Here is a 26,298-nt window from a genome sequence, read left to right as displayed (position 1 = left end):
GATTACAGGCGTGAGCCACTGCACCCGGCCCACACTTTGTAATTCTTAAATGTGGCACAAAAAAATTCTACATAAATTGTGACACATTTTTTAGGAAAACCAGTTTTGAAAAAAATCGGAAAGATCAAATAGGATACCACATAAATGATATGATAGGAGAATCTAAAATATAAAAATTTGATTCCACAATTAAAGACAATCTCACTGAACAGTAAAACAAAAAATCTGGTTTCCTAAAATGGCTGACAGCATCTCCTTCTACTTAAGAAAATTAAAAATGCTGGATTATGCTGGCGCAGTGGCACACACCTGTAATCCCAGCGCTTTGGGAGGCTGAGGTAGGAGGATCGCTTGAGCCCAGGAGTTTGAGAACAGCCTGGGCAACATGGCAAAACCCCATCTCTATAAAAAATACAGAAATTAGCCGGGTCTGGTGACTCGCTTGAGCCTGGGAGGCAGAATTTGCAGGGAGCCGTAATCATGCCACTGCGCTTCAGCCTGGGTGTTGGAGCAAGACCCTGTCTCAAAAAAAGAAAAAAAAAAAAAAAAGCTAGATTAAAACTTTTGAAAAGATTACCATAAAAGTACTGAAAAGACAGTAGGCATTTATTAATTCAAACTACATTTTATGGGAAAGTCTGAATGCAGAAATGAGAGGTGTAGGAGATGAAAAAGGAAAGTAAAAAAACTCCCTAACAGGCTATGGCCACCTCCAGTCCCTGGGAGAATTCATAACCTATGTAGCCGGAGTCTGCTGACCAGTTTCACATCGTCACTGGGTAGCAATGCCTCCAGGGAACCTGGAGCAAACACACACAAATGTTGTCTGAAAGAAAATACTTGTTTTTCACCCTTGATGCTCGCTCACAAATACTTTTTTAAAAGTAGTATTAACCTGCACACAGCTGAAGAATTCAGGTACCCCAGAAAACAAAGTTCCATAAAGGAAGACTGGTAGAAACAACTGAGAGCCTAAACAGAACCATAGATCCTAATATTGGAACTGTCATCAGAGTGAAATTGGACCTGTATCTTACACCATACACAAAAAGTCAACTCAAAATGGATTAAAGATTTTTAAGACCAGAAACTGTAAAGCTCCTAGAAGGAAACATAAGGGAAAAAGCATCATGACATTGGGATAGGTGATGATTTCTTGGATATGACACCAAAAGCATAAGAAACAAAAGCAAAAATAGGTTGTTGGTACTACATCAAGCTAAAAAGCCTCTGCACAGAAAAGGAAACACTCAACAGAGTTAAAAGGCAACTTATGGAATAGAAGAAAATATTTGCAAACCGTATATCTCACAAGGGGTTAATATCCAAGATATAATTAAAAGGAACTTCTACAACTCAATAGCAAAGAAGCAAAAACAAACAAAACAAAACAAAACAAAAAACCCCAAAGAAAAACCTAACCTGATTAAAAAGTTGACAAAGGACTTGAGTAGACATTTCTCCAAAGAAGACATACAAATGGCCAATAGGTATATAAATATCAATATCACTATTCATCTGGGAAATGCAAATCAAAACTACAATGAAATAACACCTCACACCCATTAGGATGACTATTATCAAAAAACTGAAAGGTAACAATTATTGGTGAGGATGTAGAGAAATTAGAACTCTTGTACACTGTTGGTGAAAATGTAAAATGGTGCAGCTACTGTGGAAAACAGTATGGAGGTTCCTAAAAAAATTAAAGATATATTAGAACATGTTGGTCAAGAAAAACAATTAAAAATAGAACTACCATATGATCCAGCAATCCTACTTCAGGGTATATATCCAAAGGAAATAAAATCACTATCTTGAGGAAATATTTGCACTTCCATGTTCACTGTAGCATTATTCACAATAGCTAAGATATGGAAACAACCTAAATGTTCACTGACAGATGAGCAGGTAAAGAAAATGTGGTACATAGACAATGTAATATTATTCAGCCTCAAAAAAGAAGGAAATTCTGCAGTACACAACATGGATGAACCTGGAGAACATTATACTAAGTGAAATAATTCAGTCACAGAGTAATACCACAATGAAAAATTGGAATTATTAGTCAAAAGTTAAAATAACTATGATTGTTTTGATTAAAGAAATAAGCTTGAGGCTGGGCATGGTGGCTCATGCCTATAATCTCAGCACTTTGGAAGGCTGATGCAGAATTGCTTGATGCTAGGGGTTTGAGACTGGCCTGGGCAATATAGTAAGACCCTGTCTTACAATAAAATAGTAAAATAAAAACAAAAATTAAAAAATTATCCAGGCATGGTGATGTACACCTGTCTGTAGTCCTGGCTACTCGAGAGGCAGAGGCAGGAGGATTGCTTGAGCCCAGGAGGTGAGATCTTCAGTGAGCTACGATTGCACCACTGCAGTCCAGCCTGGGTGACAGAAGAAGACCCCCATCTCTATTAAAATAAAAAAAAAAGAAAATTAAATTTAAAAACAAAGAAATAAACTTGAAAATCTCTGTAGAGGACAGGAAACTATGAAAAGTGCCCTAGAAGATTTAGGAAAGAACCAAACACAGCAATTCTATAAACAAAACAAACAAGCAAACAAAAATCTGATAAGATATCTAAAATTAAATGGACGCATCAGTAGCATATCGGACATAGCAAGAAGGAATTAGGTAGAAGGAAGAAGGTAAATCAGCAGAAATGATCCAGCACTGCTCCTCCAGGTTAATGTCCAGCATTCCCTGTGTCCTTTGAAAATGACGCAGAAGCTGCTGCCTTGGAACACGTGCTCCAGGCAGGATCTACCTGCATATTGCCTCCTAGTCACCAGACCAATAATTAGTTGTTCCAAGAGAAGGCTTCCAGTGAATATCACTTGGTAGGGAGACTAATTTCACAGCCATGGAGTCATGTTAGAATATATCCTTCTAAATATAAAAGGTAGGAGTTCTTGGCTGGGCTTGTTGTCTCATGCCTGTAATCCCAGCACTTTGGGAGGCCGAGGCAGGTGAATCACCTGAGGTCGGCAGTTCGAGACCAGCCTGATCAACAGGGAGAAACCCCGTCTCTACTAAAAATACAGAATTAGCTGGGCATGGCCATCTTGGTGAAACTCTATTTCTACTAAAAATACAAAAATTAGCTGGGTGTTGTGGTGCACACCTGTAGTCCCAGCTACTCAGGAGGCTGAGGCAGGAGAATTGGTGAACCCGGGAGGTGGAGGTTTTGGTGAGCCGAGATCGATCGTGCCATTGCACTCCAGCCGGGGCAACAAGAGCGAAAGTCTGTCTCAAAAAAAAAAAAAAAAAAAAAAAAAAAAAAAAAAAAGGTAGGAGTTCCTTTTATATTTTGGATATTATCCCTTATGAGATCTCCTGGCTGGATAAAGGAAGAAAGAGGGTGATACACTGAGGGAGCTGCACACCAAGACACCATGCAATGGAGGTGGAGAGTGTGTGTGAGAGTGGATCTTGGGGTGCAGCATCAAGAGGAAGGTGGAATTTCAAGTTGGATAAAGGAGAGTTTATTGATATGGAAACACCATCTTCTGATACGTGACTTAACACCTCAGGAAACAGTGCTAACACACTGCCAGCATAACTCTTGAAATCTTGGAAAAAGTGACATCCACATACATGAAGTAGACATTCCAGAAATACCATGGCAGATGGTCAAAAGAGGGCTCAGGAAGCTCAGAGAAGGGAGCCCACTATAGTAGATATACTATGTAAGGCTGGAAATCCACGGATGATCTATGTTTTGCAGCAGGGCCCAGAGAACACTCCTTTTATCAAAGAGACAGCAGTGCTTTAGCAACAAAAACACCAGAGTTGTTGAGCTCAATTACGGCTGTCCTCTGTAGACAAGGCAGACTGTGGGAGATGTTGAAAAACTAGGTTTACTAAAAAATTAGGGGCCAGGTGTGGTGGCTCAGACCTCTAACATCAGCACTTCAGGAGACCAAGACAGGAGGATTGCTTGAGCCTAGGAGTTCAAGACCAGCCTGGGCAACATAGTGAGATCCTGTCCTTATTTTAAAAACTAGGAATGATGGAATTTTAAAATAATAGAGGCTACATGGTAGTACTAACTTCAGAAGTGAAGTGGGCACTGTTATCAAAATGAGTGGTATCCAAAGAGCATAACCCACAGCGATGCTTTGCAGAGATGGTTAATTAGACAGGAAATCCCTAGAGTTTTCAGGCAACATACAGGATGCTCAGTTACATTTGAAATTCAAATGGGCAAGACTTTTTTGTATATGCATATTCCAAATATTAAATGGGATGGAACATACTTATATTTAAAAATTATTCATTGTTCATCTGAAGTTCAAATTTACCTGGACATCTTATATTTTTACTTGCTAAATCTGGCACCCCCACCCTAAAGGCAAGTTACATAGGCAGCCAACAAGTGCATTGCATAATTTAAAGAAACCAAAGCAGTCAGCATGGATCATTGGGCTGGGCATAGTGGCTCATGCCTATAATCCCAGCAATTTTGAAGGCCAAGGTGGGAGAGTTGCTTGAGTTCAGGAGTTTCAGACCATCCTGGGCAACATAGAGATACCTCGTCTCTATTAAGAATTTTAAAAAATGGATTATTGGAAGGCTGATGGAAGTTCTTTCAAGATAAAGTCATAGGTATGGCTGTATACTAGGAAAAGCATTAAGAAGGAAGCACAGTACCCAAAAGGCGCCCTCAGGCTCCAGAGGCAGCATATTCCATACTTGCAGTACTATTCCTACCCATTTACTGTGTGACATGAATACACCAGCTTTCATTAGGCCCAGAATGGGGAGGGGCTCAGCAGAACTCCAGACTTTACCACAAGCATCCCTGCCACTTGGGCCATATGACCCAGCAGGCCCTATTGTTTACATGTGGCATGGAGTTTATGGCAAGCCCCAGTTGGAGAATTACAAGGTAAGCCTGTAGGGTTCTGGAGCAAGTCACGCCATCTACATTGTTGACATTGCTGCTGAGTCCTGTAGAGATAGTACATCTGACCATGGGACATGATGTGACTGTGTGGCCAGAGCTGCCCATTATGAGCTGGGTTATATAAGATCCACTACAACGTAAGTTTGGGTGGGTCAGTGGAAATCCATTGTAAGATGTAATTGGCACATTTGTGATTGGACACAAGTTGGACAAGACAGCATGCCATCCAGATGTCATCCAAAATCTGAATGAGTTGCTGTTGCTTACAAATTAATAATTACTTTACAGCATTCTCCAAAAAGTGTTAGAAGACTGGCCAACAACTGGATTATTATTCATGATGATTGGCTGTACTGGAGGACAAGCTGCCACCCTCTTGTAGTGTGATGTCTATTATATTCTCAATAATAGTCCCCCGAGTGTTAGTTGCTTGTGTTTTTTCTTTTTTCTTGTAGAAATAAAGAGGAAAATAAGGCATTGCTTGCCCTCATGTCTAGTATCAGAATGGGGAAGTAGGACAAAATGGAGAAAAGACTTAACTCTCTGAAACTACTCATTTATGCTTTCTGCCTGGCCCCTGGTCCCCTTAGGTAGAGCTTATGAGACCTTCACCCTGTCCTCAGCTTAAAACCAGATCTGAAAAAATTACTTGGTATAAGAGCAAGGCTTTGTTTTCCCCAGGTGAAACAAAGTTCCCTGGGTGATCAGAAAAGGGGAATTCTATGGGCATTGGAGAGAAAGTAAGGAATGTTTAGGGCCGGGTGTCATGGCTCACGCCTGTAATCCGAGCATTTTGGGAGGCTGGGGCAGGTGGATCACTTGAGCCCAGGAGTTTGAGACCAGCCTGGGCAACATAGCAAAAACCTGCCTCTAATAAAAATAAAATAAATAAAATAAAAGGAATGTTTAAAGGATGGCACATTCCTGAGAAATGGGTTCTGAGCCCTGCACCCCCACCTCCCTTTGCTCAGGGGCAAAATGTAGTGGGTGTTTTAGGCTTCTCCTAGGTACTCACCAAGAGCTTGGACTACACTTCTCCTTTGCCCCATGGCTCATTCAGATTCTGAAAACTTGCTGCAACTACAGCAGTCTCAACCAGAGCCACTCAGGAAGGAATATTCCCCCACCTAACTTTCTAGGCCATGCCTTCTCCATAGCTTGTACCCCATAATTAGACTTCCTCATCATTTCTTTCATCTTTGAACAATAGTTATCTCCTGTAAGGGACTTACATGGGGGAGAGATAACAAACAATAGAGAATATAGCTTTGAGAATCTCTGCATATATGTGGTTGGAGCCAAGATTATGAATGAGATCATAAAGAGACATTGTGCAAAGAAAGAAGAGAAAGGGGCCAAGGATCAAACTCATATAATTGTTCCAAGAGTAATTTTCCATTGCATTACCAAAAACAAGGGAGGTGTGCAATTGAAGTGGAATGTGGGATTGTGATCCAAGTTTTAACTACTCTTGCTATGGGTAGTTTATTTCTCCTCATCTGCCTTCCATTCTCCATGCTACAACCTGAGTTTTATCTTTCAAAAACACAGATCTAGTGATGCTCTTTCTTTGCTTCTAAACTTTAGATGATGTCTCATTACTATAGAACGAAGTTCCAACTCCTGGCTGAGCATAGTGTCTCACGCCTATAATTCCAGCACTTTGGGAGGCTGAGGCGGGCGGATCGCTTGAACCCAGGAGTTCAAGACCAACCTGGGCAATATGATGAAACCCCTTCTCTACAAAAAATACAAAAATTAGCTGGGCATGGTGGCACCTGCCTGTGGTCCCAGCTACTCAGGAGGTTGAGTCAGAATGATTGCTTGAGTCTGGGAGTCAGAGGTTGCAGTGAGCCAAGATTGCATCATTGCACTCCAGCCTGGGTGACAGAGTAAGACCCTGCCTTAAACAAACAAACAGAGTTCCAACTCCTTAGCATGGTGTTCAAGGTCCTTGGTAATCCCTGTCTTAATCTGCATTTTCAGATTCAGCTGCCATCACCATTAACTCCCTGTGCCAGGCACTATGGGCTTGGCATTCACTGGATATATCATATATCCTTCTCTGTCTAACTAAAATGTCTCTATACTTCGTATTGCCAAAATGTCCTGCTTTAGCTGTGCTTCTCTGTCTGGTACATTCATGCTCAGCTTCAAATAGTTCATTCATACATGACCACTCAAATTTCAGTAGCATTTCTACACATGTCACTATTTATTCTCGTAATCAGCATTTAATGTTGAACTGCAACAAGGAACAGATATTCTCATAAGCTGAAACTTTACTATGTTTTAAAGGAAGCCCATTTCAATCTTCATGGTCAAATTTAATTATTTCCATTTCTATGCTGATATGGTTTGGCTGTGTCCCCTCCCAAATCTTATCTTGAATTGTAGTTCCCATTATCCCCACATGTTGTGGGAGGGACCGAGGGAGAGGTAATTGAATCATGGGGAAGGTTACTTCCATGCTGTTCTCAGGATAGTGAGTGAGTTCTCATGACATTTGATGGTTTTATAAGGGGCTTTTCCCCTTTGGCTCAGCACTTCTCCTTGCTGCCATCTTATGAAGAAGGACGTGTTTTCTTTCCCTTCTGCCATGATTGTAAGTTTCTTGAGGCATCACCAGCCATGCTGAACTCTGAGTCAATTAAACCTCTTTCCTTTATAAATTACCCAGTCTCTAGGGTATGTCTTTAATAGCAGCATGAGAATGGACCAATACATATGCTTTCAGAGACTGTTTACAGAGAGTTCTAGAATAGCATTGATCCTTATCTTGGTCATTCTACAATTAGTTGTCAAGAATCTGCCCCCTCTATTTGATTTTTAATCCCTAGATAACAGAGACATTGTTTTCCTCATATATGACACTTCTATCGCCTAGTGCTTAGTGCATGGCAAGTATTCACTAGGTGTTTGTTAGACTGAACTAAAAATTATCTCATATAAAAAAAACACAAGTCATAAACACACGAATTTCATGTGGCTCAGTTCACTCTAGTAATCAGCATTTAGCTAAATTTCAGTAAAGGAAGCAGAAAATTCTCCTTCTCTAATCCAAACTAATTTTTAATCATGAATTGATTTAGTTTAACCTTTGGCTCAATACCTATTCAGTAAATAGTAGTCCTTTCATTATTACAAATTGAGGTTGCTTCCATTACTACAAAAAGTAAGTCAATGAGATCTGCTTAAAATAAATTGCAGATTATGCTATAGGCAAATGTTAAAAGAAACAAACAAGCAAGCAAAGAGAGAAAAAATAAGCTTACCGATTTAGGTTCTGAGTAGGTACCAAGTCCGATGATGGGAATGCTGTTTCCATCACTTAGAGGTATGCGGTGACTTGCAGCACTGAGATCCATTGTGGAGAACCTGACTGTAGGAGTGATTCTGAACACCACAGGGAGTCTTTTTAGAAAGGTGTCCTAGGGCCTATTCCATCAAAGAAAGGAAGGCCAGAGGGAGGAGCAGAGGGAAGGGAGATTAACACACCTATTTCTCAACCTGTTTTTTTTTCCAGGTTGTCCTGGAAATCCTAAGCATGGTTGTCCTTTGAACTTCATCAGAGGCTTGTAAAACGTAACCTATTGAGAGTTTATGCTTACTTCTTCACAACAAAAGATTGAAAAAACAAAAAGAAACAAATCTGTCTGGCCTCTATCAGTTAGGATGCTTTTGTTGGCAAATAAGAGACTGACATAGTTTGGCTGCGTCCTCAACCAAATCTCATCTTGAATTGTAGCTCCCACAATCCCCAATGTCATGGGAGGGACTCAGTGGGAGGTAATTGAATCATGGGGGTGTTTTTTTCCCATGCTGCTCTTGTGATAGTGAATAAGTCTCACAAGATCTGATGGTTTTATGAAGGACAGTTCCCCTGCACATGCTCTCTTGCCTCCTGCCATGTAAGACATGCCTTTGCTCCTCTTTCACCTTCTGCCATGATTGTGAGGCCTCCCCAGCCATGTGGAACTGTGAGCCCATTAAATCTCTTTTTCTTTGTTAATTACCCAGTCTTGGTTGTCTTTATTAGCAGTGTGAGAATGAACTAATACACACATCTATCTTAAATTCTCTTAAACTATAATGGAAATTTATTGGTTCATATTCCTCAAATTCTGGCAGTAGGGCTAGCTTCAGGGGAGACTAGACATTTTCTAGGACTTCCTGGGAGATTTGGATGCAGCAGGACTGGAAAGGGATCTAGGATCTTTATCACAAGTTAAGCTTATCACCAGTTAAACTGGACTAGAGGAACAATAACATGGCCAGGACCAATTTCTCACTTCTCATTCGTCTCTCTGCCTTCCTGTTCTCTCAGGAAACTCTCTCTCTCAGTTCCCTTAACATTGAAAAGTGTTTACTGACTGTCCTTGGAGTGACAAGGTTTCCAGCTCAAACAACGAAAAAGAGATTTTACTTTCTCAGTAGCTCAAACAGTAGTCCTGAAATTGAAACTTGTTAGCCTTGATTGCCTTTCTTGGTTCATGGATCCATCGTGAAATCAATCACAGTGGCCAAAGGAAATAAAAGACATTTCCTTAAAAAAATTAGAAGCCATTTCCAAATTTGGAGCTGGGGGTTGAAGGAGGCAGGAAATTCCACCCCAACATATGGCTCCCTGGTATAATGAAGATTTTGAAGTAAAGACCCTTAGAGATCAACGGGCTCTGGAAGAGACTTTCCCCTGTCTACATAAAGATAGGATGGACCCACCAAGGAGGACAATTGTTCTTTTTCCCCTACCTGTTATCTCATGATCCATTACAAAAAAAGAAGACAAAGAATGTGTTGGGAGTCAGAAACTGATACCCCAAAATATGGCACTTTGACATACTGAACTGGAAAAGCCTCAAGGTCCCTCTGACCTCTACTCCCTACCACCTCTCCCAAAGTGAAGTTCCTTTATCTGCCTAAGATCCAGACCCACCAAAAGGAACAATTCGTTTTTCTTCCTCTCCCTGTAAGACTAAGAATGTAACCTTTCCTGAACAAACCCTTTCACAAGGTAATGTACAAGTTAATCTCTACTCCCTGATCCATTCATTCTCCCTAGTGATCTCCTCAACAGAATTCCTCTTTTCCCCTCTCCCATAACCTGATTTACCAGTAAATAAGCTTCTAAACCCTGTTGTGGGTGGGTAATCACTCTGTGGTTCTCCCTGTGTAAACATATAGTTAAATAAAATTGAATACCTTTTCTCCAATTAATCTGCCTTTTGTGAGTTGATTTTTCAGTGAAACTTCAGAAGGCAAAGAGGAAGTTTCCCTGGCCTGTACACTTCACAGGTCACTGAGTCCACAATGGTTAAAATGTCCTGAAGTTGAAACTGGCCAAATTGTCCCATATTTATGGATTTTTGAATAAACATAGAAATGTGCCCTCTGTCTTAAAACTTGAAACTTATGTCTTAACTGAGTTTTTTCCTCAGGAAACTGACCCTCAGGCAAGGGACTGAAACTCACTAGATCACCACATCCTGATACTGAGATACCAAATACCTGATTCATCAGGATTTCTTCTTTATCCCTCCCTAATTTCTTTTCGCACCTTCCCTGCTATGTAAACAGATCAATTTTGGTCAGTCAGGGAGACAGATTTGAGACTGAACTCCCACTTTCCTTGACTGCAGGACTAGATTAAAGCCTTCTTCTCTGGCAATCCTTGTTGACTTAGTGATTGGCATTCCGTGCAGGGAGCATCACAATCTTGACTGAACTCCAGGTATTTCAGCAATAAAGTTTGTCTATAATTGACTTGCCCTCCCTCCAACAGTCATTCTTGCTTATGTACACATTAACACATAACGTATATATAACATGTTCAGTATTCAGCTAGACACAGTAATTTAAACTAGGCTGTGGCAATGTGGAACATAGCAGTAATGGTCTTTAATATCATTTTTAAATTGATACAACAAATGCTTACTGTGCACCTTTGTGTGCTAAAATGTTGATTAGCATGTGTTTGTTATTTTTATTATTACTGAGTTTTTGCTATTTAGTTCTATGCATTTTAACACATATATAGATTTTTGTAACCACCACTACAATTGGGATACTGAAAAGTGCTATAAGCCAAAGAACTCTATCCTATCACACCCTCCCCTAACCCTTAATCCATAGAAATCACTGTTTTCAACCACCATAGTTTTATTTTTTGAAATTATCATAAAAATTGAATTACACAATATAAACTTTTTTGAGATTGGCTTCTTTCACTCAGCATAATGCCTTTGAAATTCATCCAGATTGTTGCTTATGTCAACAGTTTATTATTTTTTTTAGTGCTGAGTAGTAATCAGTTATATATCTGCACCGTAGTTTGTTTCTCTATTCTCCAACTGAAGGATGTTTAGTTTGTTTTCAGTTTTTGGTGATTTTGAATAGGGCTGCTCTAAACACTTATGTACAGGGTTTTGTATGAACATTAAATGTTCATTTCTCTATAGTAAATACCCAGGAGTGAGATTATCGGGTAATGTGGCAAATGTATGTTTTGCTTTATAAGAAACCACCAAACGGCCATTCCGAATGACTACCATTTTGCCTCCCCAGTAGCAATGCACATGAGTTGCAGTTGTTCTGTATCCTGACAGCACTTAGTATTTTTTATTTTAGCCTTCTAGTACATTTGTTGTGTTATTTCATTGTTATTTTAATTTGCATTTCCCATGTGGCTGATGATGTTGAACACATTTTTCTTTTTTCCTTTTTTTTGGTTTTTAGAGAGAAAGGGTTTCACTCCATCCCCCAGGCTAGGGTACAGTGGCATGATTATAGCTAGCTCACTGTAGCCTCTACCTCCTGGGCTCAAGTGATTCCTCCTGCTTTACCCACTTGAGCAGCTGGGACTATCAGTGTGTGCCACCATGCATGGCTGGTTTTTAAAAATTTTTTTGTAGAGACAGGGGTCTTACTATGTTGCTCAGGCTGGTCTTGAATTCCTGGGCTCAAATGATCCTCTTCCCATCTCAGCTTCCCAAATTGCTGGGATTACAAACATGAGTCACCACGCCTGGCCCACCTTTTCTTATGCTTATTTGCCGTCTGTATATCCTCTTGGTGAAGTGCCTATTTAAATCTCCTGCTCATTTTTAAAATTGAATTGTCTTCTTAGTGTTGAATTTTTAGATTTCTTGGTAAATTCCTGATGTGTGTTTTTTACTGGATATGTAGTTTGCAAATATTTTTTCTCAGTCTGTAGCTTGTCTTTTCATTCTCTTAACTGTATCTTTCATAGAACAAAATATTTTAATTTTGGTAATGTTTATTTGTCATTTTCTTTGTATTGTGCTTTAAGTATCTAACCCCAGGTCACAAAAATTTAATTCTGTGTTTTTTTTCTGAAAGTTATATAGTTTAATATTTTCTGTTTAGACCTATGGCTCATCGTGAATAAATTTTTGTATAATTGAAGAGATTTAGTTGTTTTGTTTTGAATAAGGATGGCTTATTGTTTCAATTACATCTGTTGAAAAATCTGTGCTTTCTTCACTGAATTTCTTTTGCACCATTGTTAAAAATAAAAGGCAAGCGAGCAGCCATATACTCTAGTAAATCATAAGACCAGCCCTGATTTTATTGATAATTGTCCAAGTTTCTAAAAACTATAATATGATAAATATTTCAACATTAAAACCATATATTTAAAAAAATAAAATAAATAAATAAAAGGCCATATATTGGTGGGTCTATGACTTTCTACTTTGTTTCATTGATTTTTTTTTTGCTTTATTTCTGTGAACTCCACATAGAAATAGGCTTCACTGATCTATTTGTCTCTTCTTTCATTGATACCACACTGTCTTGATTTTTGTAGCTTTATCATAAACCTTAAAACCATATAGTATAATTTTCAGACTTTATTTTTCTTGCCCAAAAGTATTTTAGCTATTCTTTCTCTTTTACTTTCGATATATGTTTTAGAATCAGTTTGTGTGTTTAAAATTCCTGCAGGATTATTTTGTATATTTAAATTGTTTTCTGGGTGTCTTATTTTGGGCTGCCATAATAAAATATGATAGACCGGGTGGTTTAAACAACAGCCATTTATTTTGCACAGTTCTGGAAGCTGTGAAGTCCAAGATCAAGGTGCCAGCCAATTCAGTTTCTGTTAAGAGCCAGGAAGAGAGCTTCCTGGCTTGTTGATGGCTGTCTTGCTGTGTTCTCACAGTGTGTTGGGGACTGGGGAGGTGGGGAAGAGGAGAAACAGAGAGTAAGCAAGCTCTGTGGTCTCTTTTTAAAAGGACACCAAGCCCGTCATGAGGAACCCACCCTCATGACCTGATATAAACCTAGTTACCTCTCAAAGGCCCCATCTCAAGATACCATCACACTGGGAATTCAAGTTTCAGCCTGTGAAATCTAGGGGGACACTATTCAGTCCATAGCGCTGGAGTTACCCTGGGGATTACGATTAGCATCTTAACTTTGTAACAATCAAGTTTGAATTAATACTAACCCAGTTTTAATAGTATTCAAACATTTTGATCCTTTAAAAACTCCATCAGCCTACTCCTTTATGATATTATTGTTACATAGATTTTGTCTTCAGGTTTTGACAATTTGACAGTAATGTGTCTTTCTGTGGATCTCTGGCTGTGTCCTTCTTGGAGTTCACTGAGCTTCTTGGATGTGTAGTGTCATGATTTGCACCTAATTTGGAAAGTTTCTTGGCCATTATTTCTTCAAAAAATAGTGTTTTATTTTTTTCTCTCCTCTCTTTCTTGTACTGCTATTATGTATACGTTTGTATGGCTGATGGTGTCCTACAGGTCTCTTAGGCTTAGTCATCTTTCCACTCCAGTGAGTTTTAAATGTCAGATATATTTTTCATTTCTGAAATTTCCATTTAGTTATTTTAAGTATGCTTTATTTCTTTCCTTAGACTCTCTACTTTTGCACTGGCTTCATGAGTGTTCTTGATTGTTTCCTGGGAAACTTTTGTAATCGCTGCCTTAAAGTTTTCACCATATAAGTATGTACAACATCTATGACATCTTGGCTTTGCTGTCTTTTGGTTATTGAGAACTTTTTGAATGTTAGGTTATGAGATCCTGGGTCCTGGTTTTGTTTGTTTGTTTGTTGTTATTGTTTGTTTGCTTTTGAGACAGGGTCTTGCTCTGTTTTCCAGGATGGAGTGCAGTAGTGCAGTCACAGCTCACTGCAGCCTCAATCTCCTTGGGTCCTGTTTAAATGGCATAGAATGTTAATGTTCTCATTGTAGAAGGCAGGCTTTAGAGTTGTATTCAGTGGGGGACTCCATCTTATTTGGAACTAGAACCCTCACATGTTTCTTAATTTTTAATGTATTATATACATCCTTACTAAATTGATGGAATCTAAATATTACATTGCTTTTCTCATCAGAAATGTTTCAAGTTACTCTTTATATATTAATATTTTCAAAATAAATTGACCTAAAACAGCTCCTATTTTCATTCAACAAAAAAATTGCTTGTGAATTATACTTTCTTTGTGGCCATAAATCCATAAAAATTATATTGACAGAAATAATAAGATTAAGTTTGGTATTTACTATGTACTTTACATGGCTTCTTTAATTTTCACAACAATCTTATGTGGTGAATATACTGGATCATTTAGTGTCCCCCCAAAGTCAGGTCTATCTGAAACCTCAGAATGTGACCTTATATTTAGAAATAGGATCTTTGCAGATATAATTAGATAAGTTACTATTGGATTTCAGTAAGCCCAAATCCAATGACTGGTGTTCTTATAAGATGAGAAAACAGAGACATAGAGGCTTAGGGAAGAATGACATGTGATGACAGAGACAGAAATTGAAGTAATGCATCTACAAGCCGAAGAATGCCAATGATCGCTGGCAACCACTAGAAGAAAGGAAGAGGCAAAGAAGCATTCTTCCTTAGAAACTTCAGAGGGAGCATGGCCTTGCTGATGTCTTCATTTCAAACTTCTAGCATCGAGAAATGTGCTAGAATAATTTTTGTTTGTTTGTTTTAAGCCACCTAGTTTGTGGTAATTTGTTATGGCAGCCCTTAGAAAGGAATGCAGTGGGTAATATTATTATTCCTGTTTTATAGGAAGAGTCTTGAGGTCCAAAACAGTTTTTGTCAAAAATTGCTTAGTAACTGGAAGAACTGCCAGGCTGTCTGACTCCAGAGCCTATGCTTTTAGTCACTACACTCTACTCCCTCCAATAAAGTGATAACAGGGTAGATACATTGATCAATGACAACATATTTAAAGGGACTACAAAAATGACTAATCCAAACTAGTCATAATTAAATGAAAATAAATTGAAACCTTCGTATATAATATGCTCACAGTATTAGATACTCTTCTCTCTGTAGATCTGATGGTAGAAAAATGTTTGCTTGTTACTGTATCAGAGATGAAAATTGATTTGACCTGTTTACTGGAGAGCTATTATCAATAATAAATTTTACTAAATTATTAGTATTATTTATTATTACTATTAGCATAATTAATTATTACCATTAATAAAAAGGTTAATAAAAATGTCTAGAGTATATCTTAAGTCAGATACTTTAGATGACATTTTAGCGCCATTTAGTCAATCACTTGTTGAATACATCAGTCCAGGACCATTAGAAAAATACATGTAACCAATGAAGTTAGTTTTATAAACTCCCTGCAGCAAGGAAGACTGCACTCTACATAGAAGCATGGAGTCTTAGTAAGAGGGAGATGGGAAGAGCTCATTGTAGAAACTGGGCTTATCTTAGGTGATTTGGGGAAAGATTCCAGGACACAGCTATATTTTGTGGGTGTATGTGTGCCCTCTTAACACTGGGCCAATACAGTGATTGGATATCTTAATAATTTATTTCTAGAAGGTTGAATAAATAGAGCATAGCTAGCATTGCCATTGGAGAAAAAGTAGCAGTCACCCATGTTGGCTGAAGATGGGATATTTGGTTATTCTTGTGGTTGCATAGTACCTCTGCTCAGGTATAATTACAGAATGGACTTATTTTTTTCTTATTCCATCATGGTCATGAAGAGTCCTCATGTAATATTGATATTCTATGAAATTATTTATGTTTAGCAGGGAAGAAACATCATAGCCTAGTGGTAGAAACTAGGCCACTGTCTGCTGATAGATATCAGGAAAGACAAAGTCAGACTGTGGGACAATAATCTTTGATGTTCAAGACCTTTGCATTGTCAGGATCCTGCTGATTAGATTATCTAGGAAAGGTTGCCTCTAGACTGGACAAGTGTCAGTTCCTTCTGAGCCTTCTAAGGTTGGTGCAAAAGCAACTGTGGTTTTTGCCATTACTTTTATATGGGAAAAACCACAACTACTTTTGCAGCAACCAAATATTATAGAATGAGTGTTTGCATCATGTAATGTAAAAGTGGTTACACAGTAGCACTTAAGAATCTAGACAGGATGCATTGAACAACTGTGATACAGGCACTTGCCAGAAAAAGAAATTATTATGACTTTTGTAGAAGACTGTTCATCCACTGGACTAGATAACCAAACCCAGATCTCAAAAATGCGCTAAAAAATCCAGCAGAGTCTATTCTTGTACATATGTATTTGCACCAAGGTATGCAAATACATATGTAGATATGTATGTTTGTTCTGGCATAAACTCCCTCTTGGTTAGTGAAGAGGAAATCAAGATGAAATATGTTGTTATCCATTCAGACCCTGCGTAATGAATTTAAACTGTTTGATGCGTTTCCAGTGGTAGTGTACACATAAGGAATAGTATTTTGGTAGGGCATGGACTCAAAGGACAGTATAAACATTATGTATCTTCAAAACAGAGAACTAATCATTGGACCCTAATGCTGGACATATTTTCTGAGTGAAGTTAAATAATTCCTGCAGGATACAGTGACTCTGAAGAGAGCAACTGACCATTGCAGAGAGCGGAGCGGAGTTCCTGGGTTTAGTTAATGATCTAATAAGATGTATTTTGTAATGTGGAGGTAAAGTCCAATTTTTACAAGGTTGAAGGTTGGGACTCATAATGTGAGAGACATTTCAGTACTAGAAGAAATTTGTATAAGAACATCTATCTTGACAATATTTAAAGAAACATCTATGACATATGTTTCCCCCAGCGGGGTCAAATGGATATTGATCCACCAATCAGATTTACAGCAGTAACTAAGGTCTGAGAAAAATGTATAAGAATGTTTTCTTTCTCTTGAAATGCCACAAGAAAAGACCACAGAGGCTTAGAAGTTTAAAAAAAAATGTATAGGAGAACAGACTGAGAACTCTTGACCCAGTCACTGGAGAGCTTCAACATATGCTATTAGGCAAGATCCATAGTAAAAAAAATCAAAAGGAAAAGTGTATTAAATTATCTTAAAATTAATCTTGTTCCAGAGATTTTAGTAAAAGCTATCTAGTTTACATAATCATTAGCTTCAATGGAGGGTTTTGAATCAATTGTTACTTTAGAGGATTGTCTGCTTCTGGTAGAGTTCAAAGAATTCTCAGCTTGAGGTCTACCAGTGAAATGGAAGTCCCCTGATCTAGGAAAAAGGATGTATGTCTTTTGAACTGAAAATATGAATGCAGGGATTACTATCTTAGAGTCTCACCACAGTGTTAATTAGTAACAGTACCTGATACAGTCCTGTTAGTCAAAGCTCAAGGCAAATCTTCCTTTGCTTTCTCTTCCAGAAGACAAAATCTCCAGGTTTCAGGCTCAAAGATTGTGTAAATGGTTACTTTGAAAAGGCAGCTTGTATCCGTTTAATGATAAGATGTAGTATTTAGTTATGTCAACTTGCAGTGGGGCAAAGACTAGGATCAGAGCAAAATTCTGAAATGCATGGCATGGTCTGTTATTAACTCTTAAGGGGAGAGCCTATGTCATGAAGGTAAATGGAATACTGTAGGAACTTACATGTAAGTTCCAGTGACTCTTAGAACTTTGACAATTTTTAGTTTTAGTAATCCTTTATTTTCTCTACATTTTCCTGAAGATTGGGTATAAGAACAATACAGTTTTTGAGTAAAAGGAAAAGCATTCAAAGTCTTTAATGATGGTCTGGCAAGAAAAAGTCTCAATCCATCCTAAAAATAAGTAAAGAATGACCAAAGCTTGCTGGGAAATATTGATTGGACCAATAATTGCTCTTTCATTTTATGCTAACTGGCAGATCCACTTGAGGTTAGTTAACTCAGTTATCTGAAGTCAACTGACTTTTGAGAAAGGCTTATATGCCAAGAGTGAATTCGAATCAGTAATAGCATAGCTTGCCTGACAATCTCCAGCTTTTATGTTTAAGTATGAACTACCAATGAACATCATTCAATTAGGGTTATCAAAAGGTACATTAATTATTTTTATCAAGTGTTTGATTCCTGAAGGGATCCATAGGACCCAGTTTATACTTTATTACAGGCAACAAATAAAGCAATAGCAGGAGAAGAAAATGCATTGGGAGTGTCTAGAGATCTCAGGTGAAGACTTCCTTACTTTCACACCACATGGTTGTTCTGATTATGCTTTGTCTTCAGGTATTAAAACACCAGTGACCTGTGTGAGCACCTTGGTACCAGAAAGCCCAGAGCCTGCTCAAGGAGGGTGTGTCTTACAGTGAGCTAGTTGCATAGACATATTCCAATATGTGACCAGACTTAGTCCCTCAAGCTCCACCGAAACCAGTGGAAATTATAAATGCAATTATTAATACTAAATATTGCTGACAGGCTGGTACATGCTACCCTGAAAACAACTCACAGATCCATGGTTATGTAATATCATTTACCTTTAATTAATACATATTTAGTTAATACATTCCCTAGTATTGACAAGAGTCGATGTCATTCTCTAGGCAGTTCTGGAGATAAGCATTTGTCCTTATCTCCAAATAAGAAGGTCAATAGAGGTTAACCCCTGCCATACAAAGGGAATATACAAAGGTCTGTATAGGGCACTGACAATTTCCTAATACAGGTTAAATAATCAAGGCATTTTTCTTGCTTGAGTAGGGAAGGAGAGTTGTTGGGTCCAAGGTACTAAAGCTGTGGATAGTTATATATGAAGGAGAGACAAACAATGATGCCATAGTCTATCTCCAAGGCATTTAATTTATCCCATAAAGTGCATTGTAATTGTTTACAATTGACAAGAATATTTACATCTAAAATACTGGGAAAAAAGTCTTTTAATAGTTATTTTGGCAGTTGTTATTATTATATAACTATGATTAATAACTATTATTATATAACTATTATATACCTATTTAAACATAGGTATATTTCTTTTAACCTGAAAAGTACAAAACTGATGGGTACATATTTGTATTAATGTATTTTACTTATACATAATTAATCTGGAAAGGTGAACTTTTGCTGTGATTTATCAAGCTACCCGTCTTTCATCTTAAATTTTGCACAATAGTTTCAAATTGGTGAAAATTTGGAGAATGACAAATCTGATTATTTTTACTTATTTTTAAAATAAATCTTTGTGGTACCTAGGGAACCCTTCGAGAAATTTAATGATAGCTTAGTCATAAAAAGACATCTTCACTGAAAAGATTTTCCAAGCTGAGACATCTGTGAGTACTCACCAGACTCCAGCGTATAGTGATGCAATGCTGTGATTTACAGAGGAAAGACCGAGTGCAGCAGAAGAGTTCAGCCAAGCATTAGGGGTCAGAGAGATGGCATCCCAGGCTAAGCTTCCCAGCATCTGTATTCACACGCAGCACACCAAGTTTCCAGATTGAACCGCCAAGATCTGTGTGAGGAATACATTAGCTTAGGCTACAACTCAAAACCAAGCTTCCCAGCAGGAATTTTTCTCTCTTGAGCCACATAATCAAGCCTAGCTAACTCAGCTGGTTTGACCTGTTGCACATCATCAGTAAAGAAACTGACCTTGGGGGTGCGGGATCACCAGGGGGAGCTTTACCCTTTAACCAGCATATCATAAAACTGCCCTTATCTTGTCTGAGTGTCAAAATGTCATCCAGGAGACCTAGAGACAAAGAGTTTACAGGTGGAAAGTCCAGCTGTAAATTAACTGCATTGTCCATATCCTCTTATTTTTCTGAATTTGGGGCTTAAATTTGGGGAATGCAAAATGAAGAGTTTTCAGAGAAGAGGAGGTATAAAAACATGAGACAGTCTCTAGAGGCAGGTAATAGTTACCCAAATGTTTGTTCTCTCCAGGCAATATTTGAAAACACACCATAACAAGAAACAATAATTAGTAGAAACTTTTAATTCTTTTAAGCTGTGAGGGTTTTTTTGTTTTGTTTTGTTAAAATAATTTAAAAGCATGTCCAAAGGAATGAGGGCTAATAGAATATTATAGTGCTAAAAAAGGTACATCTGTGAGAAAAAATGACTGAGTCATTTTACAGAAAAACACAAATTATAATTTTCTCCTTTTGGTTCACTATTCACGTAACAAATTGTAGTAAATAATTTACTAATACTGCTCTATGTGCAAGAATTTAGACATAGAGAGATAAATACACAAACAGATGATAAACATAAAGATTTTAACTTTAGTCTTAATATATAATTTTATAAATATATTAAACAAAATAATGCTTATTATATTGAATTTACCATTTTAATTTTCTGCAACAATTTCCTGAATAGAGAAATCATTTTTTGTACCACCTATATATTTATATATTTTACATATTTTTGTATCTATTATACCATTTACATTAATTGCCATATTTAACAAAAATAATTCTATTGCCTTTAGATAGAAAAGAAAATTAAAGAACATGAAGCCAAGAATTGCCTTTTTTTTCAGTGAATACGCATGTTAGATTATTAACTCAAATATAAAGTGGCAAAAATAAATATATGACATTATTCTAAAAGCATTTACACAAACTTTTAATTTAGCCATTTTAAGAAGTAATGGCAAATTAAAACTATGTTTAGTGACTAAATTTCTGTATCTTTTTCTTACTAATATACTTTTTGGGCATTCAGTGATAACTTATTAATGAGCTAAATTTAACTTTTATCTAAGGTACCAAGCTAATTAAGGATCTGGAAATTACAATTTTAGCCAGCACATTAAGCCTTTATAATTTGTAGCAGTATAAAAATGTCACAATATTAAACCCTTTAAAAAGACATCTGCTATGACCATTTCAATTAATTGAATACGATTTTGTATTTTTGTCATATTTACTTGACCAACGAAAGGAATTTTGGAAATTTTAATCTTGAGAAACTTCAGTCTTGCACAAATGAAAATATTGTGCTAACAAAATTCTCATATGACAAAACCTGGGGAAAGACAGTGTTATCTCTCAATCAATATTATTTGTCTCTAAACCAATATTAACTCTAGTTTGTTGGAGTTAATATTGACTCAATCTGAGATTTACCTTTTTAACCAAGAATATTACATAAACCTTTAAAATATAATTTATAAACATCTGCATTAATAACTAAATTTGACTCTAAATTATGCCAAAAGCTCTGTATAGTCAACTTTTTAAATCTTGTAACCCTAACCAATGACATTAGCTTAACTCACAATTAAATCTCTCATTATTTCCTTTAAACTCCAAGCTTTTAGCAAGATGAAATTGTAAAAGACAACACATTTTACAAGTTTAATGTTTTTGCTTTTCCTTTTAATTAGGATAGGACTGTTAATTTTCCCGTAATGTCTTTGTTTAAAATATTGACAGGTCTCTTTGTTGAAAAAAATTATTAAATTTCCCTTAAAAATTCATTAATTTGTAAATCCTTCTCATGATTAAGCTAATTATTTTTTTCACCAAGTTTTTGTATCTTCTGATCTTATCAAAATATAATTGCTAGTGGTCATGACAGATCTGAATTCTTCAATATACCTTTTCCTGTCCATTCTGGGGTTTGAGAAGTCTTCTATTAATATTAATATATGGCATAGGGATATGAATATGATCAAGGTTTAAAATGCACACACCAGTCAAAATCTGGAGAGGAAAAGGAAAGATACAAACAAGAAGGAGGGGAATAGGAGTCAGACGGAGACACACGTGAACCTGCTTTAAGTTCTCAAACTTATCAGTGGACTTAAAGGGTATTTTAGAGAGGTAGTTTTAAAGGGCAAATTGCACTTGGAAGCCTCCTCATCTTAATTAAAGAAAGCAGACCAGGTGGGGCTGGGAGCAAAAAAGAAAAAAGAAAAAGTAGACCATTGGACAGTTAAAATTGTGTTTTGCTTTCCTAAAGGGCATCTCAAATGAACAATCTTATTTATACCAAAGATTTCTAAAAGTGGCCACTATAATCCCGGGTTGTCTTTGTAAACTGTGCCAGTTGGAAGGATAGGTCCATGAACATCATGCTGTATACTATAAATAATACCATTTTTATTTGTCACTTAAAATCGATAAAGATCCATTTTACCCTTGACCTAAAAAAAAGAAAGAAAAGAAAAAGAAGGAATGATAGTTGCATGAATTGACTCTGAAACAAGACAGCATGAAGAAAGGTAGGTATTTGGCCTAAAGGAGGCAGAATTTTAGAGTCAGGAGACTTCCGAGACTGATTAGAGTGGGGCTGGTGAAACTACATGTCTCCCAAACCTGGCCAAAGACAAGTCATCACCAGTGAAGCCTCTGGGGAAATAAAACAAAATAAAGACATTTTCAGAGATACAAAGACAAGATTGAGGAAACAATCCTTGAAGAGTTTTGGAAAAGAGATCTGAGGCAAAGTTTATATAAAGGGCACTAGTCTAATGAGACCCTTGGAACTCTTCAGCCCTGGGCCACCTGGAGGATGGACTCACTGGGCCTATGCTCATCCTCTCTCCATAGACTTTTCCTGTTACAGAAAAATGAGACTCAAGATACTGGATAATCACCCAGAAAAACAGAAGCAAGTTTTAGAAGACTGGACATCTTTATCTCAAACAACAATAAACTTATGACCAGACAACCCAAAAAGTTCTGGAGATGTTATTTCTAGGAACACAAGATAAATCTTACATTGAATGGCTTCAATCAAATAATCTGAGGTCAGATTCAGATTCAACTCAACATACACATTGCAATGTCAGGCAGGTGGTGGGGGGTACTAGCAGATAAAGACAAAAAGGATCTCAGATAATGCATGTACATTCTTACTGGGTTAAAGATCTGTTTATAGCAGAGAGAGTCTCAGGTTTATCTTGATAAGGTCCTCCACATCTATTAACACTCACACACTATCAAAGACTACCATAAATACATCTTGTAGTTAAGGTTACGTTTATTGAGCTTGGTGCAGCAAGGGAGACCGTACTCTGGGGAAACAGGGAGTGTCTTGGCAACAGGGAGTGAAAAGATGCTCCTTGTAGAATTTAGCCTTTACATTAAGGTTATTTTTATTTTATATTTTTTAAAAATTTGAGACAGGGTCTCACTCTGTCACCCAGGCTGGAGTGCTCACTGCAGCCTTGACTTCTCTGGGTTCGGGTGATCCTCCCACCTCAGCCTCCTGAGTAGCCGGTACTACAGGCGCATGCCACCACACCTGGCTAATATTTGAGGTCTTTTTTATAGAGATGAGATCACACTATGTTGTCCGGGCTAGTCTCAAACTCCTGGGCTCAAGCGATCTTCCTGCCTCGGCTTCCCAAAGTGCTGGGATTACAGACATGAGCCACCAGGCCTGGCCTAAGGTTATTTCTGAGAGAGTTCAAGAATCAGAGGTTTGATCAGGATTGAGCACTGGCAGAAAGTGGGGACAATCCAATGATTTAGTATCATAATTTTTATCGATGAAACAAGAGGAATGAAAAGGCTTAAAACTGTCAGTGGAGACGCAGCAGCAACTCATTTATACCAGGTGAGGGGTATGTTTTGATTGTGTGTGTGTGTGTGTGTGTGTGTGTGTGTGTGTGTGTATGTGGTTGCATAGTGCCTTAGTTTCTTTTTTCCTTTTTTCCAACTGAATTAGTCTCTTTTTATTCTCTTGGCAATCTCTTCCAGAGTCATTACTTCCGTTTTAGGCGATAAAATGGATAAGGCTCCACTTCCAATGCTGTCACTGCTATGAGCGTGGTCTTTCTCTTTACTGCAACTAGGAATTAAAACTTTCTATTCTTGTTTTTTAGACCAGGCATGGTGGCTCATGCCTGTAATCCCAACACTTTGGGAAGCCAAAGCAGGAGGATTGCTTGAGTCCAAGAGTTCGAGTCCAGACTTGGCAACATAGGGAGACCCCTGTCTCTACAATAAATAAAAAAAGATTCTTGTTTTTTATATTCTAGCCCCAGAAGTAGTTTCCACTGTAGAAGTTATCTGATGACAGTATTATGCTTTCTTGTAGTGGCCTACAGCCAGGTGTCTTCAGGAAGAAGCAGCTGCAGGATGGATTTAGTTTAAATATTAACATGTGTTAAACTAAGAGGTATTCTCTCAAATGAGTTTAAATGCATTTTATTTTTAGACAACCTACATAACGTGTAATTTCCTTAAAAACAATACCTGTGCTTCAAATACATCAAAATAAATGAAAAGCTCAAGATGACTTCAGTTCCATTTGTCTTAAGTCCTGGTGCTGTGTGGATGACAAGCACCAACCAATTATGATGACAGGTGATAGATCCAAAGTAATTGCCAAATTAGTTAACATTTTTCCATTTCTAAACCATCCCTAAAGAAAATCATATATGGGGGTCACACCACCCTCAGGGTAATCCAGTAGAGCAACCATGTCATCTGGAATCATGTGTCACCAGTAAAGAACTGGTAGTTTTTGAAATTAGCAAGGATACGTTTGATTTGTTCTGCAGCCCCTGCCATAAAAGTTTTACTTTATCTGGCCTCTGTTCAAGTTTGCCTTTGATTAATTTCATGTACTTTTTTTTTTTTTGTCTTGAGATGGAATCTCACTTTGTCACCCAGGCTGGAATGCAGTGGAACCATCTCAGCTCACTGTAACCTCTGCCTCCCGGGTTCAAGCAATTCTCCTGCCTCAGCCTCCCAAGTAGCTGGGACTACAGGCCCCACCACCACATCTGGCTAATTTTTGTATTTTTAGTAAAGATGGGGTTTCACCATATTGGCCAGGCTGGTCTCGAACTCCTGACCTTGTGATCCGCCCACCTTAGCCTCCCAAAGTGCTGGGATTACAGGCATGAGCCACTGTGCCCAGCCTATAGTTTCTTTCTTTTTTTTTTTTTCTTTTTAGAGATAGGGTCTCGCTCTGTCACCCAGGCTAGAGTGCAGTGGTGCAATCATAGCTCACTACAACCTTGGACTCCTGGGCTCAAGTGAGCCTCCTGCCTCGGCTAGGACCACAGGCACACACCACCATGCTGGATAACATTTTAAAGGGTCTTGCTTGTTGCCCAGGGTGGTCTTGAACTCCTGGGCTTGAGCAATCCTCCTGCCTCAGTCTCCCAAATTGTGAGGATTATAGGAGCGAGCCGCTGTGTCTGGCCCAGGATTCTTTAATTCTTTAGTACCCTTTACTAGTTGATAAAAATCTTCTTTTTGAATTTACATGTTGACTTGTAGATTTTGTCTAGTAGCAAAGATAACCCCAAAATGATATTGTATTACCCTATGGGGCAATAATCAGTTTTATATCCAACCCAGCAATTTTTTTTCTAAATTTTTGAAAGGCCATTCCTGATGGATTACTTAAACCCTTGTTACTAGAATCCTCTTGGAACTAGCTTTACCCTCTCTTCTTTTCTCTTCTTATTGATAAGTTAAACAGACTTTTGGCATCTTTTCATATTATATATATACTTTTGGAGACAGGATCTTGCTCTGTTGCCCAGGCTGGTGTGCAGTGGCACAATCATGGCTCACTGCAGCCTTGACCTTCTGGACTCAAGTGATCATCCCACCTCGACCTTCTGAGTAGCTGAGAGTAGTATAGGTCTGCACCACTATATCTGGCTAATTTTTGTATTTTTTTTTTTTTTTTTTTTTGTAGAGATGAGGTTTTATCATGTTGCCCAGGTCTCAAATTCCTGGGCTGAAGAGATCCTCCTGCCTTGGTTTCCCAAAATACTTGGATTGAACGCGTGAGCCACTGGGCCTGGCTTCTTTGACCAGTCATATTTTCAATGCTTTGAAAATTATAGCTTGACAGAGGAGGGGTGTCAAGGCATAAGTTCCCCTTGGTCCTCCGAAGGTTTGCTGAAAAAAAATCACTGGCAATATGCATATTCATAGGAGAAAAGGCACACGAATTTATTTAATGCACATACATGGGAAGAATCACAGAGTGATTACCCATCTCCCAATGGGGTGCAGAAGCTTATACACCATCCTGGCAAAACAAATTACAGGAGGGCAGAGAAGAGGAATTCTGTTGATAAAATTACCAGGGAGAATGAATGGATCAGGGAGCAGAGATTAACTTGTACAGTATCTTGTGAAAGTGTCTGTTCAGGTGGGGTTA

The 26,298-nt window shown here is 37.9% G+C and overlaps 1 protein-coding gene and 1 long non-coding RNA gene across 5 annotated transcripts in view; both read right to left on the bottom strand.

The window, feature by feature from the left end:
• AKR1D1 (aldo-keto reductase family 1 member D1) overlaps positions 1 to 8,347 on the bottom strand; it is a 41,847-nt gene extending 33,500 nt beyond the window's left edge. For all 4 annotated transcript variants that reach the window (NM_005989.4, NM_001190907.2, NM_001190906.2 and 1 more), the window contains exon 1: positions 8,195 to 8,347. In NM_005989.4, the coding sequence (NP_005980.1) occupies positions 8,195 to 8,287 (93 nt within the window). In that variant the 5' untranslated portion in view covers positions 8,288 to 8,347. The remainder of the gene's footprint in view (positions 1 to 8,194) is intronic.
• LOC124901753 (uncharacterized) lies at positions 12,959 to 19,797 on the bottom strand. The gene is made up of 2 exons (XR_007060553.1): positions 19,491 to 19,797; positions 12,959 to 14,115 (listed from the first exon to the last, which is right to left on the bottom strand). It is a non-coding gene; the product is annotated as an uncharacterized LOC124901753 (long non-coding RNA).
• Positions 19,798 to 26,298: the final 6,501 nt, after the last annotated feature.

Source organism: Homo sapiens, chromosome 7 (assembly GCF_000001405.40).
Source record: "Homo sapiens chromosome 7, GRCh38.p14 Primary Assembly".
Lineage (NCBI taxonomy): Eukaryota > Metazoa > Chordata > Mammalia > Primates > Hominidae > Homo > Homo sapiens.
The sequence above is the reverse complement of the archived record's forward strand: the minus strand, read 5'-3'. Positions and strand labels throughout refer to the sequence as shown.